Source organism: Homo sapiens, chromosome 20, assembly GCF_000001405.40.
Source record: "Homo sapiens chromosome 20, GRCh38.p14 Primary Assembly".
In the NCBI taxonomy this organism is placed as follows: Eukaryota; Metazoa; Chordata; class Mammalia; order Primates; family Hominidae; genus Homo; species Homo sapiens.
Window position 1 is genome coordinate 30331785 of NC_000020.11, and position 20929 is coordinate 30352713.

The 20929-nt window shown below is 42.0% G+C and overlaps 1 long non-coding RNA gene across 4 annotated transcripts in view; it reads right to left on the reverse strand.

Moving 5' to 3' along the window:
- Positions 1–20929, reverse strand: part of FAM242A (family with sequence similarity 242 member A) — a 38665-nt gene that overhangs the window by 8474 nt on the left and 9262 nt on the right. For 3 of the 4 annotated variants that reach the window (NR_187586.1, NR_187588.1, NR_187589.1), the window contains exon 3: positions 18548–18683. The exons of the other annotated variant lie outside the window; for it this stretch is intronic. This is a non-coding gene — a long non-coding RNA (family with sequence similarity 242 member A). The remainder of the gene's footprint in view (positions 1–18547; positions 18684–20929) is intronic. 4 annotated transcript variants of the gene reach the window in all.

Below are 20929 nucleotides of genomic sequence, written 5' to 3' on the forward strand. Positions count from 1 at the left end.
CCTGAAACAGTCATGGAAATTGAGACTGGGACACAGAAGCCAGGCTCAGAGACAGCCTAGGTGAGGGTTCTCATGCCAGGAAATCCAGCTACTACTGTGTAACCTAAAGCGGGGATTAAGCTCTCAGAACTTCAATGAACTCTTTTGGAAATAGGGATAAGAAACCCACTTGTCAGGGCTGTTGTGAACATCAAATGTGATCATGTATGTACCTAGTACATAGTATGCCTTCAATAAATGGTAAGGCAAACGGAAGGCAAATCAAATTCATGTCCATTACTCTGACCCAGCCTTTGCATAAATTCTTTTTTCTTCTCCTTCCTTGTCAATGCATGGCTCCCTCCCTCTTCTTTATTTCCTATCCTCATTCCCCTACCATCTGAACCCTGATCTGGAATCTCTTTTCTCAGGAAATCTTCCATGATTGAAAAATTCCTGCTTGGCCACTTTCCACTCCAATACTCTATCTTCACCCATCTTCCATCTACCCCATGGTCCTGGCCCAAGTTTACACGTGTCCCATCCCTCCCTTCAAAAAGCATGCAGCAATGGAAGGGCTTTAAGTTTGTCATCAAGCAGATCAGAGTTCAGATGCCAACTCTGCCAAGTTCTAGCTTTAGAACTTTGTCAGATCACTTCCTCTCTTTGAATCTCTGTCTTCCCAACCCTCTGGTGAGGTCAAGTGTGTGTGGGCTGGTACATAAAGGATATTTAATCTCCTCTGCTCTACCCAACCTCCCCCAACTCACACTCCCAGGACTACCTCTCTACTAAAGGGAGTTATTAGACCAAGAAAGTAATTCTCCCATTACCAGATCCAACCCAACCTTGCCCAGGGAAAAAGAAGTGACTTTGAGTCTATGGGTCTTGGAGGGACCACCAACCCAAGAGCTAGAGCAGAGGAAAGACTTGGATATCCCAGCTTCCAGGTTTATAGGCTCTCTCCCCAAGCCCTCATATGCAGCCCCATTTGCAGGACTAGCTTCAGGGATAGGAGAGAAAGAGTTGATCTGATTCCAATCTTAGCCTGTAAGTAGTAGCTCACCTATGCCTCTATTTTCAACCTTCCTAGATCAGAAGAGCAACAATATCAATGACAACTAATGGGTACATAGTGTTTCCTATGGGATGGACATTGTTCCAGGCTCTTTGTACATATAACTCATTTAATCCTGACAGCAGCCTTTGAGCTAGGTACTATTAACCCCGTTTTACAGACAAGAAAACTAAAGCACAAGGGGTTAAGTAACTTGCCTAGGTCATACAACTCACATAAGGCATGACCGAGATTCAAAACCAGGCCGTCTAGCTCCAGAATCCATCCTGTTAACCACTCTGCCATAAAAAGAGCTAACATTTACTGGCAGTTTCTATGTGCCAAGCACTGTGGAAAACACATGGCATGTATTTCTTCTAATTCCAAATAACCCCCTGAGATAAGTTCTATTATTAGTATCCCTGTTTTACAGGTCAAGAAACTAAGGCAGAGAGAAAAGTTAAGCAACTTGCCCTGAGTCACACAGCTAGATATTAATAGTTTCAGAACTCCTAGCTGTTTTGCCTCAAATCCCACCTCCCCACCCCTGCTCAAAGCCCCTCCCCTTCTAGGTGGGTTGTTTAGTTCCTATCATAAGTTCTTCACAAATCTGCTTTACCCCCCACAGCCTACAACCCTTGTTCTCCAAAACTCCTGTTGACCTCCGTCCCTTTCCCTTCCCACTTTCTCCCTAGTCCCTCTGCTCCCCACAAAGTCCCCCAAACCATTCTGTCTCTCTCCCTCTGCTCCCCCCAACCCTCCTCCACAACTCCTGCTGAAACAGATGAATTTCACCAAAAAAGACCATCAGACTTTCCCCAAGCCGTCCCCCACTGTGCCTAATCGCACACCCCCAGGGGAGGCACCACAGTGGCTAAGCTGGAGAGCCAGAAATAAAATCCTCATTCTACTTCCCTGCCCCCTCTTCCCATCACTCATCTGGGAATCCAGGGCGAAGAAGGGAGCTAAAGTGCAGAGCATTCATTTAATATTAACAAATTGAAATGAATTCTTTTAATGCCAATTAACTTGGAGCGGCCCCTTATTAATAGTAACTTAGATTCATACTTGGGAGAAGCAGGGACGGGGGCTGGGCCAAATGTGCCCAGAATGTCAATGTGACTGGGGACCTGAAAGCGGAGGGGTGGCAGTTTTGCTTCTGCCCAGTTGGGTTCTGTTTCCCTGAGAGAAATGGAGTCACTGGAGGCGGATCTCTGGGAAACACAAATTACTCTTGTAAGTTTATTTTTGTTACTTCAAGGAATCTGAATAGTTTGAAGCCATGTCACACCATTTTAAGAGTTTATTTTCACAGTAATGCTAAAAAGAAGAATTTCCTCAGGGCTGGGATTTACTTCAAACTCTCTCCTAAGCCAAACCTTACTGACAAAAGGAACAAGTCCCCAGGCCAGCTCTCTACCCTTCTTTGTTCAGAGCTAGAGCCAGGGATCAATTTGGGCTTCCTCAATCCCTGCCCCTTCTACCTTAACAAAAACTAAAAGGAAGAATCAACACTGTATGTCTCTCTGAGAAGTCTCCCCCAGGAGGTAAAAGACCCAAAGGGCTGACCCCTAAGCTAACAGCTTACATTTAAGGAAGAAAAACAATCTGCCTGCACTTTTCTTAGAATTTAAGGAAAAAATGAGAATTTAAAATTCAATTTCATGTATCAGAGTTCTCCAGAATACAGCCAAGTGGAAAGAACTTAGTCCCAAATGAAAAAGTTGAACAGAAATTCTGCTCTCACTCGTTTTGCCAGCTTGGAGGTGAGACTGGAGGTGTCCTGAACTAGAACCAGAGCATAGGTTCTGACCCAAGAAGGACACTGTCTACTTCCCAGGCATCCCTCCTTGGCTGGGAGGAGAGGGGAGGATGAGTCCGTTGGAAGCTGAGAATTGTGGAAGCTGGGGATGGGAGTTTTGAGATGGAGGAGGCAGGAGCGTGAAGGAGGTCAGGGAAAGACAAGTAAATCTACTAACCATTGCAGTTTATAAAATAAAAACCTTAAAAATGGTTTAACATGCAAAAGGTTAAATTTTAAAAAGAGGTCAGGTTTTAAAGAAGGTAAAATACCTCAAATTTAAACATAATAAAAATGAGGAAAATACACAAAAATTTCAAGCAAATTGTTCTTCAGAAGAGGAGAGGTTGGAATTAATCAAAAGACCTTTTTTACACACACCACCCCAAGAGTTTCCCAAACAATAAATTCATTTACAAAACAAAAAGAGGAATCAACACAAAACCTCATCCACATACAGAGAAAAATAAATTGTGGTGATTCGGTAACAGCTGAAAAACTAGTGAGGGAGGAGAAAAATGAATAAACTCTAAATCCATTAGGTGATATTTATAAATAGCAAAATTGGAGGATGGAATGGAGAAAGGAGTTGCACTTATCATTAAAGAAGTAACACATGTGAAAACATAAGGTGTAACTCATCCCCAAAGAAAAGTAAACTCTCCATAAAGTAGCAAGTATAGAAATTTATTGAAAAGGAGGAAAGTACCACTCACCCCCCCCAATATAAGTGTATTAATTTGAATTAAAATTTTCTCCAAATCCGAGATAGGTTACACAAAAGAATACAAAAAGATTTTTTTCTTTCAACTAAGAGGAAAAACAAAATCCGATTTAAATTCACTAATGGGACAGGAAGGGAGGCTGTGGTTTGCAGGTGCTAGTAAACGGGGTGAAGGTTGTGAAGAGTTTGAGGGGTAGAGGACCAGCTTACCTCGCTTTGGAGCCGCCGCGGCCAACAGGAGTGGGCAAAGGACGCTGCCAGTGCCTGAGTGATACGGGAAATAAGGAATAGGGGATTCGGGTGCACCTAGACGAATGAGGAGGATGGAAAGACTGGGGGTGCCCATCTCCCTTCCTTTGCCCGCCTCCCTCCCTCCGGTACCCAGGCCTAGAGAGTTACTGAAAGTTACAAATTGCTTCCATTATTACTCATCCTGGGCGGCCTGGTCATTGGCCAGCCCCTGGCCACGTGGTCCCTCGTAGCAATCGATCGAATTTCTAGTCGCAATTCTCTGTCCCTCAGCTCTGGGGAGAAAGTGGGGGCTGTGGCGTGGGGGCTGAGGTCCAGTTTGGGGCGGGGTGGGAGAGGAGTCCTTGAGTATCCTGTCCCCGGGCCAAACCCCCAGGAGTCCAGTCTTCAGGACCTCCTTGAGCCGACTTCCACCGATGGAGGGGGATCTTCAGGGCACCTGCTGGGTTCTCAGGACTCCTCTTCAGATCCTAGTTTGGACCCCTCTGGATTAGAAAGGATGGGCTCAGCACATCTGGTGAGGCAGGCAGGTCCTCGCTGCAGCACAGAATGATCCCATGGCCCTCAAAGCGTGGTGTCAGCTGAAAGTTCATTGATCCGTGAGCCCTCTGCCTCCCTCCTCCGTTGAAAGAGCAGTGGCGTGCCCCGCTTTTAAAAGCCCTGGGGCTCCTGCAAGCGGACACCGCTTTCCAGGACATGTGCAAACAGGGATGGTGCGAAGCAGAGGTGGAGACAATGCGATCACGTGTGGCACTGGCGTATCCCACAGCAGATGGTGTGAATGTGCGTCACCGGAGGCATATGGGGTGATGGCGAAACCAACAATGGTGTCCAGGCATGTGCCCAGTGGAAACGGGAAACAAGTGGCCTTTCCCTGAGTGCCAAGGGAACTCAAAGAAGACCTGGGAACCTGGATGGGGCCTGTGCCTCAGTCCAAGCCACATTTTGAAATGCCTGCCAGAGGAGCACAGAGGTTTCTGCAACATTCACCCCACCCCGAAGCCTCCACCGCCCAGGTAGCCCTGATGCAACCTTCCCTGCACCCAGCCCCAAACCCATCCCCAGGCCCAGCCCAGTTCCTTTGGTTTCCTGACATTCATTACAGCCAAAAGATTCAAGGAATCAGTCCACCTATGAGTAGAGGAGAGGATATCCCTCATTTGTGAGACAGGACTTGCAGAGGAAATGGGACACCACCTGTCCTAGAAGACAAGGCCAGTCATGATCACCTAGCGCTTATTCTAGGCAATCCACCCACCCATGAGGTGAAGCAAGGAGACCAAAGAAGCTTCCCTGTCTGAGACACGCATGGAAGCCAAGTGTTCCAGGCTTATCAGACCTGCCCAATCCAGCAGAAACAGGTTTGGAGAGAGAAAGAGTCATGTCACGCATCTCCAGAAAGTGTCTCCCTGATGGACTGGGAAGCGATCTTCGTAGAAGTTATTAGCCAGACCAAGAGGCAACTAGGCCCCTCAGAAACAGGGGAGACAGAGCAAGAGGGAGGACAGAGCAGAGGCCAGAGCCCAGGCAGGTTACAGGACCTTGCCACTGCCACGGGCATAAGGGGAGGGGTGTGAAATGTGTGACTTGTCCAGAGAGGCCAGCATTCCAGGGACAGGGATTGTTGCCGTCTCCCATTCCCGGCTTCCTCCTCAGAATTGTATCGTGGTGTGGCTTCATTGCTCAGAGAAGAGCCGTGCAGGGGTACAACCATCTTCTTGGAGGTGGGTCTGCTCCTCTCCTGCCGGACAATGAGCTGCTGTGGGGTTTTGTCCTGGGCTGGAGTGTGGTCCTCTTGATCTTAGAAAAGTGGCCGCTCAGGATGGGGATGAGACTTCGATTGCTCCGGGACTGACGCGTCTCCTCACATGATCGAGGACTTCACAAACCCAAAGTGGAACCGCCGTGAAAATGACGGACAACCGGCCAGGGGACCCAGGCAGAGACACAGAAAGAGGCTCAACAAAGACTGGCCGATATGCAAAAATTTGCATTTTGGTGAACAGAGCACATTCGTCCAAAGATACACACACACACAGGCATACACACACAAACACACACACACACAGACTGACAGAGAGAGGGAAAGAAACACACAGAGGGTGAGAGACAGAGAGAGAAGAGAGAACGGGACACACACACACACACACACACACACACACACAGTCCTACAGTGGTGGCACAGAAACACACACTCCCTGGCAACCCCTGAGGCTAACTAATAGTGGAAAATATGTATCTAAGAATACACTTGGAACAGAAATGTGAAAAACCGAAAGTAAGAGGTATTATGAAGGATCAAATATAAAATGACCCAGTGCTAAAGAGGCAACAAAGAAAACTGTAGAAGAAAATGACAAGAGGCATTGTGCCTTAATGAGTTTGTGCTACTATATAGAAAATACACTAGGCTGGGTAATTTCTGAAGAACAGAAATGTATTTCTCACAGTTCCATAGGCTAGAAGTCCAAGATCAAGGTGCCAGCAGGATTGGTGTCTGGTGAGGGCCTGGTCTCTGCATCCAAGATAGTACCTTGTGCACTGTGTCTTCAGGAGGAGATGCACTGTGTCCTCACATGGCAGAAGGCGGAAGGGCAAAACAGGGGAAGCCCACTCCTTCCAGTTGTGTAAGGATCCTACACCCATTTGTGAAGACTCTCCCTTCATGACTGAATCACTACCTAAAAGCCCTACTTCCTAATCCTATGACATTGGTGATTAATTTTAGGGGGACACATTCAGAGCATAGCACCCTATATTCAATTTCTTAAAAATTATTTTGTTGTTTTGCTTTTCTGTTTTTCAAATGACTTAAAGTGCTCAAAATTGGATTAATCATAATCCTTGGCTCATAGCACACCTTGGCTCCTATTTCATCCTTGTCTGTGCCTGAGCCTCTGTGTAAATGTATTTGAACAATATGGTAATCACTTGTGAACTTACAACACAACCAAAGAACTAGGGTTCTGACCCTAACATCTGCTCCTCCTCTGTCCTTTTTTCTGATTTTCCACCTTCAGCCCGAGGGTAACTAATACCCTGAATTTATGTTTAGGATTCTCTTCCTTTAAAAAAAAAAAAACATTGTTTGATTGCATACATATGATTACCCTAAATGACATATTATTTAGTTTTTAAGGGTATAATTTATTTACCCATTCTCCTATTAATTTACCCATTCTCCTATTAATGAACATTTGGCTTATTTCCAGATTTTTGCTATTATGAATGGCATTACATGAGCATTTTTTTTTAATACTTCTGGTACATATGGGCAAGAGTTTCTCCAGGGCCTATGGCAGAGGAATTACTTTGCCATAACATATGAGAATGCTCAAATTTATAAGATAATCCAAATTGCTTTCCAAAGTGGTTGTTCTAATTTAAACTCTCACCTCCTGTATTAGTTCGAGATGATCTTGTTGATCCAGTCTCTCCATATATGGTGATATGGTTTGGCTGTGTCCACACCCAAATCCCAGGTTGAATTCTATCTCCCAGAATTCCCACATGTTAGGGGAGGGACCCAGGGTGAGGTAATTGAACCACAGAGGCCAGTCTTTCCTGTATGATTCTCATGATAGTGAATAAGTCTCATGAGATCTGATGGGTTTATCAGGAGTTTCTGCTTTGGCTTCCTCCTCATTTTCTCTTGCTGCTGCCATGTAAGAAGTGCCTTTTACCTCCTGCCATGACTCTGAGGCCTCCCCCACCATGTGGGACTGTAAATCCAATTACAGTTCTTTTTCTTTACACCTCTTTTTCTTCTCAGACTTGGGTATGTCTTTATCAGCAGTGTGAAAACAGACTAATACAGTAAATTGATACCAGTGGAGTGGGGTGCTCCTGAAAAGATACCCAAAAATGTGCAAGTGACTTTGAAACTTGGTAACAGGCAGAGATTGGAACAGTTTGGAGGGCTCAGAAGAACACCGGAAAATGTGGGAAAATTTGGAACCTCCTAGAGACTTGCTGAATGACTTTGACAAAAGTGCTGATAGTGTTTTGAACAATAAGGTCCAGGCCGAGGTGGTCTCAGATGGAGATGAGGAACTTGTTGTGAACTGGAGCAAAGGTAACTCTCGTTATGTTTTAGCAAAGAGAATGGCAGCATTTTGCCCCTGTCCTAGAGATTTGTGGAACTTTTAACTTGAGAATGATAATTTAGGGTATCTGCTGGAAGAAATTTCTAAGCAGTAAAGCATTCAAGAGGTGACTTGGGTGATGTTAAAGGCCTTCGGTTTTATAAAGGAAGCAGAGCATACAGTTTTGGAAAATTTGCAGCCTGACAATGTGATAGAGAAGAAAATCCCATTTTCTGAGGATAAATTCAAGCTGTCTGCAGAAATTTGCATAAGTAACAAGAAGCTGAATGTTAATCCCAAAAACAATGGGGAAAATGTCTACAGGACATGTCATAGGTCATCACAGAAGCCCCTCCTATCACAAGCCGGGGGCCTAGGAGGATAAAATGGATTTCTGGGCTGGGCCAGGTTCACTGTGCTGTGTGTAGACTAGGGCTTTGTATCTCTGTGTTTCAGCCCCTCCAGCCATGGCTGAAAGGGGACAACATAGAACCCAGGCCATGGCCTTGAGAGTGCAAGCACCAAGCCTTGGCAGCTTCCATGTTGTGTTCAGCCTGCACATGCATAGAAGTCAAGAATTGAGGTTTGGAAACCTCCACCTAGATTTCAGAGGATGTTTGAAAACACCTGGATGTCCAAGCAGAAGTTTGCTGCAGGGGTGGTGCTCTGATGGAGAACCTCTGCTAGGGCTGTGCAGAAGAGAAATGTGGGGTCAGAGCCCCTATACAGAGTCCCTACTGGGGCACTTCCTAGTGCAGCTGTGAGGAGAGGGCCACTCTCCTCCAGACCCCAGAATGGTAGATTCACTGACAGCTTTCACCATGAGCCTGGAAAAGCTGTGGACACTCAACATCAGCCCATGAAAACAGCCAGGAGGTGGGCTATACCCTGCAAAGCCACAGGGGCAGAACTACCCAAGGCTGTGGGAGCCCACGTCTTGCATCAGCATGACCTTGATGTGAAACATGGAGTCAAAGGAGATCATTTTGGAGCTTTAAAATTTGACTACCTTGCTGGATTTTGGACTTGCGTGGGGCCTGTAATCCCTTTGTTTTGGCAAATTTCTCCCATTTGGAATGGCTGTATTTACTCAATTACCTGTACCCCCATTGTATCTAGGAAGTAACTAGCTTGATTTGGATTTTACAGGGTCATAGGCAGAAGAGACTTGCCTTGTCTCAGATGAGACTGGAAAGTGGACATTTGGGTTAATACTGAAATGATTTAAGACTTTGGGGGACTGTTGGGAAGGCATGATCGGTTTTGAAGTCTGAGGACATGAGATTTGGAGGGGCCAGGAGCAGAATAATATGGTTTGACTATGTCCCTACCCACATCTCAACTTGAATTGTATTGCTCAGGATTCCCATGTGTTCGGGGAGGGAACCAGGGGGAGGTAGTTGAATCTTTAGGGCCAGTCTTTCCCATGCTATTCTTGTGATAGTGAATAAATCTCACAAGATCTGATGGGTTTATCAGTGGTTTCATCTTTTGCTTCTTTTGCCTCCTTCTCATATTCTCTTGCCACTGCCATGTAAGAAGTGCTGTTCATCCACCGCCATAACTCTGAGGCCTCCTCTGCCATGTGGAACCCTTAAACCAATTAAGCCTCTTTTTCTTCCCTGTCTCAGGTAGGTCTTTATCAGCAGTGTGAATATGGACTAATACATTTCGTATTGTCAAACTTCTTAATATTTGTGGAGAGAATAGATGTGAAGTATCTTGTGCATTTCCCTGATTACTAATGAGGTTGAGAAAATTTTTATGTTTTGCAGGCTTTCTCTTTTGTGAAATCCCTATTAATGTCTTTTCCCAATTTTCTGTTGGGTTGCTATTTTTAAAATTAATTCATAGGAGCTCCTTATACTTAGTTGATATGATATTAATCTTTTGTAGGTTTCAGTTACTGCAAATATCTTCTCTAATTTATAGTTTATCTTTTCACTTTTTTACTTTTATTTTTTAATTTCTATTTTTTGTTTTTGAGACAGAGTCTCGCTCTGTCATTCAGGCTGGAGTGCAGTGGCTCACTGCAACCTCCACCTCTCGGGTTCAGACCATTCTCGTGCCTTAGCTTCCCAAGTAGCTGGGATTACAGGTGTCTGCCACTAATACCTGGCTAATTTCTTGTATTTTTAGTAGAGATGGGGTTTCACCATGTTGGCCAGCCTGGTCTCAAACTCCTGATCTCAGGTGATGTACTGTTGGGATTACAGGCTTGAGACACTGTACCCAGCCTATCTTTCCACTTTTTGATGTAAAAAGTTCTTAATTTTGTGATAGTCAAAATGTCTACTCTTTTTTAATGGTTAAATGGCTTTTTGTGTCTCATTCACTTACATTTTCTACTAAAAGTTTTAAAGTTTTTTTCTGACATGTAAGTCTTTTGTCCATCTGGAATTTAATGTTTGTATATAGAATGAAGTAGGAATATAATTTCATTTTGTTTCTTATATCAATAACCATTATTTTTCTATTCTATTTATTGAAAAGTCCTTTCTTTCCTTGCTGATCTGCCATGTCACCTACATCACATATCGAAGATTAAATTTGTGGAGATTTGCTTGGGAACTCTATTCTGTTTCACTAGTCAGTGTATCAGTGAGGACCACACTGTCTTAATTGCTGTAGCTTTATAAAAGTCCTGATATTTGGCAGGACAAATCTTTCCTTTTCTTCAATGTCTTTGATATTATTGGCCCCTTCCCTTTTCCATATATGTATATATACATATATATATGGAAATTATATATATTATATATTTATATGTGTGTGTATATATATATATATATATAGAGAGAGAGAGAGAGAGAGAGAGAGAGAGAGACAGGCAGAGGTCTCACTTTGTTGCCCAGGCTTGAGGACAGTGGTGCAATGATAGCTCACTTCAGACTTGAACTCCTGGGCTCAAGAACTCCTCCTACCTCAGCCTCCCAAGTAACTGGGACTCTAAGGCATGCACCACCATATCCAGCTAATTTTTTTTAAAAATTGTTTTTTGCAATGATGGGGATCTTGCTATGCTGCCCAGGCTGGTCTCAAACTTTTGGCCTCAAGCAATCCTCCCACCTCAGGCTCCCAAAGTGCTGGGATCACAAGAGTGAGCCACCACACCTGGCTTCATTTTCCATATTTTAAGACCATTTTTAAAAAGTTGCTCAAGACTGCTTTTTTCTCTTGGTGTTACTTGCAACCCCCTTACTTAGCCTTGGAAATACTGTTAGTGAAGAAAATCTAAAGAGTCAAAAAATAAAATATTCTTTCTTTTCTTCCAATTGCAAAAGAGCAGACACCCTCCTGAATCATAAAGCTAGTTTTGATAAATTGGTGAACTGAGAGCATACACAGTATTATTAATTCTGTTCTAATTTCTGCTTCACTGTGGAGTGTCTTCAGAGTCTTAAAAGATTATTGCTATGAAATATTCTTATACATGTAACACAAAACCTCTACAATTCTGCAGTTGTATTTGGCTGTCTTACCTAATACTCAGTTGCTTTGCTTCATAATATTTAAATTGACATCTCTAATTTCCAAAAGGCATAAATACTAGTATAGATTTTTAGTTAAGCCAGAAGAAAGTAGACTTTCTTTACTAACATATCTTACATGTAAAAATTTAATAAATCTCCCTTCTTCTTTTCTTTTGCATCATAACAACCACTGAAAATAGTATTTCTATAGCAGTTGGGGGTAAATGGACAATGACTTTTGTGGCCAGAGGTGAATGGCCCAGGGGCTCCTGCACTCCAGGTCCCACTGAGCCTGCCACACAGCTGAGGGCATCAGTATTTCCACACACCTATAGTGCATGCTGTCCCAGAACACAGATCAGATTCTCTCCTATATTCAAATGGGGAGTTGAGAGTATTGTCATTGTAATTAAATTAATAAATACATATTTATACACTGTTAAAATCTGGTTGGCTTTGTGTCCCTTCACAAAACAAATTGCTTAAATGAAACCACAGAGTTAATATAATTGAGTACATTTGCTTCTATGAGATGCTCTTTTAAGTGGAATTAGAATCTAATTTGAAATGTCAATTAAAAGTTTAAATATTCAACTCGATTACATTAAATTTTTGTTTTGTTTTGTTTTGAGATGGAGTTTAGCTCTTGTCACCCAGACTGAAGTGCAATGGCAAAATCTCAGCTCACTGCAAGCACCTTCTCCTGGGTTCAAGCGATTCTCCTGCTTCAACTTCCCGAGTAGCTGGGATTACAGGTGTCTGCCACCACACCTGGTTAATTTTTGTATTTTCAGTAGAGATGGGGTTTCACCATGTTGGCTAGGCTGGTCTTGAACTCCTGACCTCAGGGGATCCACCCACCTCGGCCTCCCAAACTGCTGGGATTTTGGGCATGAGCCACCATGCTCGGCCTTTTTAGATTACTTTATTTTAGTTACTTATTTTTATGACTTTATTGTTATAAAAATGCTAATTTTAAAAAATCAATCAATATAACAAAGAACACAGAAGATGATCAACAAGCATTCCCACCTCTGTGATCTAGAAATAACTGTCATCAATCCAAAAGCTTACACATGGGGGATCCCTTCACACCAGTTCACAGTACAAAGTAACTCCTTGCTTGTAGAAAACATTATTACTATCATTATTAGTTTTGAGATGGAATTTGACTCTTGTAGCCCAGACTGGAGTGCGATGGTGTGATCTTGGCTCACTGCAACCTCTACCTCCCAGGTTCAAAGGATTCTCCTGCCTTAGCCTCCCAAGCAGCTGGGATTACCAGCGCACACCACGATGGCCTGCTAATGTTTAGTATTTTTGTAGAGACGGGGATTCACCATGTTGGCCAGGCTGGTCTCGAACTCCTGACCTCAGGTGATCCACTTGCCTCAACCTCCCAAAGTGTTGGGATTACAGGCAGGAGCCACCACACCCAGACTAGAAAACATTATTCAATAGCAAACATTAGCAGTATGCTTGGGGGTTTTAGGATTGATTATTTTCAAATCTCTAGAAAAGCTCAATGCATTACCTTAGGCTATAATCTCAGGGTAGAGTCTCATCTGTTAATGGGGGGCTGGTCTAAGGGTCCTTCCAGCTCTCAGTTTCCCATGTTGAACTGCTCCCTGTCACCCACCATCCTCGGTTTTTTTAGTTTTTACAGAGATGAGGTTTCACTATATTGCACAGGCTGGTCTTGAACTGCTGGCCTTAAGCAATCCTCCTGCCTTGGCCTCCCAAAGTGCTGGAGTTACAGATGTGAGCCTCTGTGCTCAGCCCATCCTTGGCTGTTCAAGTGTAGAGGTAAGTAGTAGATGCCAAGTTTACCTTCAGGTCAGAAGGGGCAGATGCCCCAGGGCAGAGTCATAACCCTAACCAGGCCTCCCACTGCATGAAGACATTATGTTCTGAAGCTTAAACCTGGACAAAGGTCTGACCAGTAGCACTGTGTTCATGAATATCAGGTCAAAAATTTAAAACTGGGACTATGCAGAAGAACCTGGTAGATGTAGGTGCAGTCCACAGTCCAATGGTCAGCCTTGATAACAAGCCACCTGTACTTTCTTTTTATCATGGAGTCCATGATGTAAAAATTGATGACACTTTCTTGCTTCTGGTGTGCTTCCTTTCTTCTTCATTTTCCATAAGTAGTTTCCTCCATCCCACCTCCCAACAGGCCACAGTCAATTCAGGACATTTTAACCATGAAAATGAGTCTCCATAACACGAATTTAGAGGCCAGACAGAGTGGATCACGCCAGCAATCCCAGCATTCTGTGAGGCTGAAGTGGGGGAATGGCTTGAGCTTAGGAGCTTCAGACCAGCCTGGGCAACATGGTGAAACCCTGTCTCTAAAATAAATAAATAAATAAATAAAAATAAGCCATGTATGGTGGTGCATGCTACTAGTCCCAGCTACTCAGGAGGCTGAGGTGGGAGGATTGTGGGGCCAAGGAGGTCAAGTATGGAGTGGGCCAAGATCATGCCACTGCAATGCAGCCTGGGTAATGGAGTGAGACCTTATAGCAAGAAAAAGAAAAAGATTTAAAGGACAGGCTGACTGTCTTGTTACAAGCCAATGCTCATTTGTTATTCCATAAATCCTAGGGCACCTCTTAAGAATTATGCTAAATCTACACTACCCCTGCTCTATAAATGGAACAACAACACTTGGATGATATCAGAGCTGTTTACTGCATGGGTTACTGAGTATTTTAATCTCACTGTTGAGACCTACAGCTCAGAAAAAAAGATTCACTTCAAATACTTCAGCTTTTTGACAATGTACCTGGTGACTAAAGAGTTCTAATGGAGATGTACAGGGAAACACATGCTGGTTTCATGCCTGCCAACACAACATCTATTCTGTAGTCCATGGATTGAGGCATCATTTTGACTTTCAAGTCTTATTATTTGAGAAATATATTCGTCCAGGGAACGAATCTCCTCACAACATACCTAAGAAAGAGATATATGTACAGAAAACGAAGCACAGTAAAATATCACTTCATTACTATCGGAGATTTTCCCCAAACACAGAGAAAGCTCTACAGAGCTGAGCTTAAGCCAGAACTCTGTTATTTACATGGTCTAATGCCAAAACAGGCCAGAGACCCCTTTCACCTACTTCTCTTTAATCCCAAACCCATGTCTCGCTTTGATCTAAGAAAGAGCCAAATGCCCAGGAGGTGCCAGGGTAGAGAAAAGCAGCCAGCCAGAGAGTGGCCTCCATGCCAGGGGAGTGTGTCTGAGCTTTGTTTTATTTTTCTTATTTGTCTGTAGTTGTGTGATTGGTAGAAGAGAGTAGATATGAAGTCTACTGACACAGGATTGGTCCTCAGGCATGTCTTATCAAGCATTTGGGGGAACAGAAGGGTTCCACAAATAAGAGAGCAATGATCAGACTTTCTTCTAAAAGGAGCAGCCACAAGCTACCTTAACTCTCCAACTTGCCCATTAATCTTCACCTAGAGTTAGGAAGATTTCACCATTATCTGTGGCCCATAAAAGATCCTTAAGCTTGACCAACCACAGAGGTCCATCTCCTTGAGGAGGAAGTGAAAGGGGTATGGACAGAAGCTGTGAGCTTTCTGTCCTCCGCAGGCCCCCAGCTGTATCTTCTACTTCTTGTACAAGATTGTCTCCAAATGATGTTTTCTGGCTGACAATGCCACAGAACTGATCCTTATCTCACTATGGAAATGAAAGATTTCGAAGAATTTGTTGCCTGAAATATGGTGCCCTAATCACATATTAATAAAGCTGCTATCCAGAAAGAAGGCAGATTTCAAAAGAAAGGCTGTTAGCATCCTCAGGGACCTAAAAAGTACATATTGTAGAACAATGGTAAATAGATCTTGGAATCAGGTAGACTTTAATTCAAATCCCAGCTATGCCACTTATTAACTTATGTGACATAGGGAAAGCCTCTCAAATTTAGATTTGCAAAATCAGAATAATATAAGTAGCCAACAAATAGGGTTTAATGGAGTTAATAATGAAGGTGATTAAGATGATAAAATTAAATAGTGAATATAAAGTGCTTAGCATTTAATAAATTTATTGTATGATTTCAAAGCACATGCTTTTACCTACAGTGCTATAAAGCTGCTTGCGATAGTCAAAGCTAATAGAAGCTCTTGTCAGAGCTAATAGAAGCCTTGTATATGTAATTATTTAAGAATTCTGTAAATATAAACAATAGGGTAGGAATGAGAAAATCTTTAGAGGAAATATTCAAGTATATTTGATTTCTAGCAAATCCAGATAGACAGTTTTGGCAACAACCAAGTCATAATTTGAAGTCTTGTTATAGGAGCTAGAATTTTATTCAAGGGACAACTGATTTGATTAGATTAGATGCTGTGCACTGCACTTTGGGATGTAATTTGATTTTGATGAGGTTGGAGTTCCCACAATGGGGTTAGCATCCTAATAAGAAGAGCAGAAGACTAGAGCCCTCTTCTCTCAGCCATGTGAAGATACAACAAGAACACCTGCAAACCAGTAAGAGGGCCTTCACCAGACACTGGCTCTGCTGGTCCAGATTTTAATCATTGAATTCCCACAACTGTGAGAAACAAGTATATGCTGTTTAAGCCACTCAGTCTACAGTTGTTTGTAGCAGCAGCCTGAGCAGACAAAGACATAGGGCTCCTTTTATTTTCAGAATTCAGTTTAGCTGTAATCACCTACCATCCTGAGATGCTGTTTCTTCCCTCCTCCCTTGAAATATAAGCTCTGGGACTATAGCTTCATGGACAAATTCTGAAGAATTTGTCTCTGCTCTTGTGGGATGCTAACCTAACCAACCAAAGAATGTTTGCTCAATGGAATGAAACATCTTAATGCAGCTCACCAGCCAATATCTGCAGAGCACACCTCATGGGTTCTGGCTGGCTTGGATTTCTGAGACTACTTCATCCTACTCATCAGACTGTGGACTCAGATTCAGCCAGGAGGCCCAGATTCTAGCGTCAGTTTTGCCCTTGGGATACAAATGCACGTCCTGCTTCACTGAACATGAAACCTGAATATTTGGCCATTACTCTGGCAATTGTCCTCTCTCCCTGTGCCAATTGCCAATCAACCCAACTCCCAGGCAGCCTTGGCAGTTATGTCTGCTTGGCCTGCTGTAGCAGCCAATGACTTAGTAAAAGTCAGAACATAGATCTGCTAGCTCCCAGTCCAGGATTTCCCCATAACTCGTCCATGTATATATTAAACAACTAGGCTTGCTTTTAAAATTCTTTTTCATTTAGCCTTTTCTTAGAACTTATCATTTTGAGAATCCTGACCTGCCAATATTCCATAACCTTTCTGAAAGTGACAAAGCAAATACGATGCATGCACACTGCTAACTGCAGCTGATTTCATTTTCCATCATCTATAAAGCACATAAGGTAATTTCTAAACCAGCAGTAAGATCTATTTATAAAGAATGCCGATTTGTTTTCTGCATTTTCCAACACAAAGCTTCAATTTATTTCCTTACCATAAAAAAACATTACTTTTTAAAACAATCATAGTTAGTATATTTTATAAATGTTTTAATTTTTGTAAAGTCCAACTTGCAAATTGGAGTGTAAATAGCTTTCTTAAAATGGAAGGAACTGTGTTAGACCCACTATGCTGATTGATGATTTTACTGTGCTTCAAAGCAGACGATTTCACAGTCATTGGGTATATAATGTAATGAGTTTTTATAAAGCAATTCATATCATTAAAAATATAATTATAATAAATAAAATTATAGGGAAAAGGAAATCTTCATTCTGACAATGCCAATTTTTTAACTAACTCATTGCTAAAAGATTATGTTTCTACATGAAAAATTTTACACATTCTTTCTATGAAATAAACCTGATAACACCTTGAAAACTTAATAGTTATGGGAAAGGAACTACTGTGATTTATTTTAGAGAATGTCGTGTTCTTGATGTTCTCAAGTGAGCGGTCTCATGTTATTAGAAGGGAAACAGCAGTACCTTGTGGACAAAAAAAGAAAGTGAATGAATTTTTAGGACCCGGTGCAGTGGTTCAGGCCTGTAATCCCAGCACTTTGGGACACCTGGGCGGAGGGTAACTTGAGCCTAAGAGTTCAAGACCAGCCTGGACAACACAGTGACACGCCGATCTTTACCAAAAATTGAAAAATTCTCTGGGCTTAGTGGCTCATAACTCAGGAGCCAGCTACTTGGAAGGCTGAGGTGGGAGGATTGCTTAAGCCCAGTAGGTCCAGGCTGCAGTGAGTGTGATCATACCACTGCATTCCAGCCTGGGTGACACAGCAAGACCCTATTTCAAAAAAATTATATTTATGTAGCACTTTCTACAAGGAATATAGTATCATGTTTGTATTTAAATGACATCAGGACCAGCATGGTGGCTTACACCTGTAATCTCAGCTCCTCAGATGACGGAAGGCAGGAGGATCACTTGAGGCCAAGAGTCGGAAAACCAGCCTGGGCAGCATAATGAAACCCCCATTTCTACAAAAATGATAATAGTAATCAAAAGCTAGGCGTGCTGGCACACACCTGCAGACCTAGCTACTGTGGAGGCTGAGTGGAAGGATCACTTTGAGCCCAGGAGTTTGATTGTATTGTGTATTGTGAGCTACGCTCGAGCCACTCCACTCCAGACAACACGGCAAGACCCAGTCTCTAAACAAAATACAGGGACATCAGAGCATTATTTATAGAGATTTATAAATGATCCCAAAATGTCTTCAGGGAGATAAATCATCTAAATATAGCTATATCGACTCTTCCTAAATTCCAAATTTGGGTGGGAAAAATAAATGAGATAGAAGACTTCTTGAAATGTATCAAGACTCAGGAAGACAAAACAAAAACTTTCATTAGGCAGTATCAAGAATGTTCATTAATGCTGTTTCTAATTTATGATACGGTCATCTAAAGAGGAAATCCCAGCAACAAGAGGCCAAAGGAAAGGGAAAAGAAATGAAAACAAGGACCATACTTTCTCCACATCCAACCTCTTTTCTACCACCTCTCAGCAAGACCTCCCACAGCCAATCACTGCTTTCTCTTGCGGACTTACCCTCTACTCTATGAACACATGAGCCAGAGAACCCTGAGAAGTCCCTGAGTCCCTTCCAGGGGCTCTGCAAGGGCAAAAGTCTTTTCATAAAAATACACAGGTTTTGTTTACCTTTTCCACTTTCATTCTCTCACAAGTATAATTGGAGTTTCCCAGCTACCTGACGTGGGATGTCACAAGAAATTAAACATAGAAGCAGAAAGGAGAACCAAGTCTTCTTCTATTAAACCAGACATTAAAGACATACCTAAAAATATAAAACAATGTCACTGTTCTCACCAACTTTACTGCTTAAAAATGATAATTTTAAGTAAAAATGTGATTTACGTAAACATATAAGTATATTATTTTTTTAATTTCTCAGTTTTAATGTTTAATATGATAAATATAGATAGACATAATCCAAATAAATAAAAGCTCTTTGGGGTCCTCAATAACTCTTAAAAATGTTAAGTGTTCCTGAAACCAAAAAGTTTACGGACTGATGCGCTAAAGCTCATACCCTTTGATGTAGCTTCCACCCAGGTCATTTCTTAAATACTTGATCAACCATTTCCCATGTCCCTCACCCTATCCTTGTTGCAAAATTCCATTTTCCTACTGCAGCCCTCCCTGTCATGAGAAAGTTCCCAGGTTGTAGACATGATTTACTAAATCTTTCTTAACAGCTTTATCATAATAACATGACATATACAAATTGTATAAATTTAAGGTAACTTAATGTTTTGATATTTCTATACTTTTTGAAAGGATCACCATGATCAAGCAAATTAGCATATTATCTCTACATATTTACCATTGTGTGTGTGTTGACAGTAATTAATTTATGATCTAGTCCTTTAGCAGAACACAAGAATATGATACAGTGTAGTTCCATGTTGTGCATTATATCTCCAGAAATTATTATAACTTGAACATTGCACAATTTAATTAACATCACCCCATTTCCCCTCCCTGAGCTCCTGGCAACCACTGTCCTAGTCTCCGTTTTTAAGAATTTGACTGTTGTAGATTCCACATGTAAGTAAGATCATGAAGTAGTTGTCTCTGTGTCTTGCATTTTTGCTTGGCGCAATATCTTCCAGCTCCATCCATGTTTTCACAAATAGAAGGATTTCCTTCTTTTTTAAGGTTGTATAATATTTCATTTTATGTATACACATCACATTTTCTTTACCCATTCATCTGTTCCTCTGCCAAAGGACATTTAGGTTATTTTCATATTTTGGTCATTGTGTGTCATGCTGCAATGAACGGGATGACAGACACCTCTCTAAGACTCTTATGTCAATTTCACTGGACATATATCCAAAAGTGAAATTGTTGGATTATGTGGTAGTTCTTTTTTTTTATTTTTGAAATCGTTCCCACTCTGTCATCCAGGGTAAAGTCCAGTGGCAATATCATAGCTCATTGCAGCCTTGAACTCCTGGGCTCAAGCGATCCTCCTACCTCAGCCTCCTGAGTAGCTGGGACTACAGGTGTACAACACCATATCGGGCTAATTTTAATTTTTTTTCTGAGATGGGGTCTTGCTATGTTACCTAGGCTGGTCTGGAGCTCCTGGCCTCCTGCCTTGGCTTCCCCAAATCCTGGGATTACAGGTGTGAGCCATCACACCAGGCCAGTGCTATTTTCCATTTTTTTTGGAGGAACCTCGATACTGTTTTCTGTGTTTTACTAATTTGCATTCCCATCAATAGTGTTTAATGGTTTCCTTTTCTCCACATTCTTACCAACACTTATCTCTTCTCTTTTTGATAATAGCCATTTTAACAGGTGTGACATGATATCTCATTGTGGTTTTGATTTGCATTACTCTGAAGTTTAGAGATGTTGAGCACATTTTCTTATACCTGTTAGCCATTTGAATTTCTTCTTTGGAGATGTATTTATTTAGGTTCTTTGCCTTAAAATAAAATTAGGTTATTTATAATTTTGGAATTGATGTGTGTGTGTCCTTCTTATTTTTTGAACTCCTTATAAGAGATATGGTTTACAAACATTTTCCCCATTTCATAGGTGGCCTTATCATTTCACTAGTTGTTTTCCTTGCTGTGCAGAAGCTTTTTAGTTCGATGTAATTCATTTATCTATTTTGCCTTTGTTGCCTGTGCTTTTGGAATCATATCTAAACAAATTATTGCCAAGACCAATGTCAAGAATGTTTTCTCCTGTCTTCTTCCAGGAGTTTTGTGGTTTCAGTGATTACATTTAAACGTTTGATCCACTTTGAGTTAATTTTTACATAAGGCGTGAGCTAGGGATCCGATTTCATTCTGTTACATGTAGACATCCAGCTTTCCTAACACCATTTGGTCAAGAGCATATCCTCTGCCTATAGTGTCTCCTTGTCACCTTCCAGGGTGATCAATGGTTGCAAATGTGTGGGTTATGCCTAGGTTCTCTATTTTGTTTCACTGGTTTATGTGTCTGTTTTTATGCCAGTACCACAGTGTTTTTCTTTCTACAGCTTTGTAATTTAATTTGAAA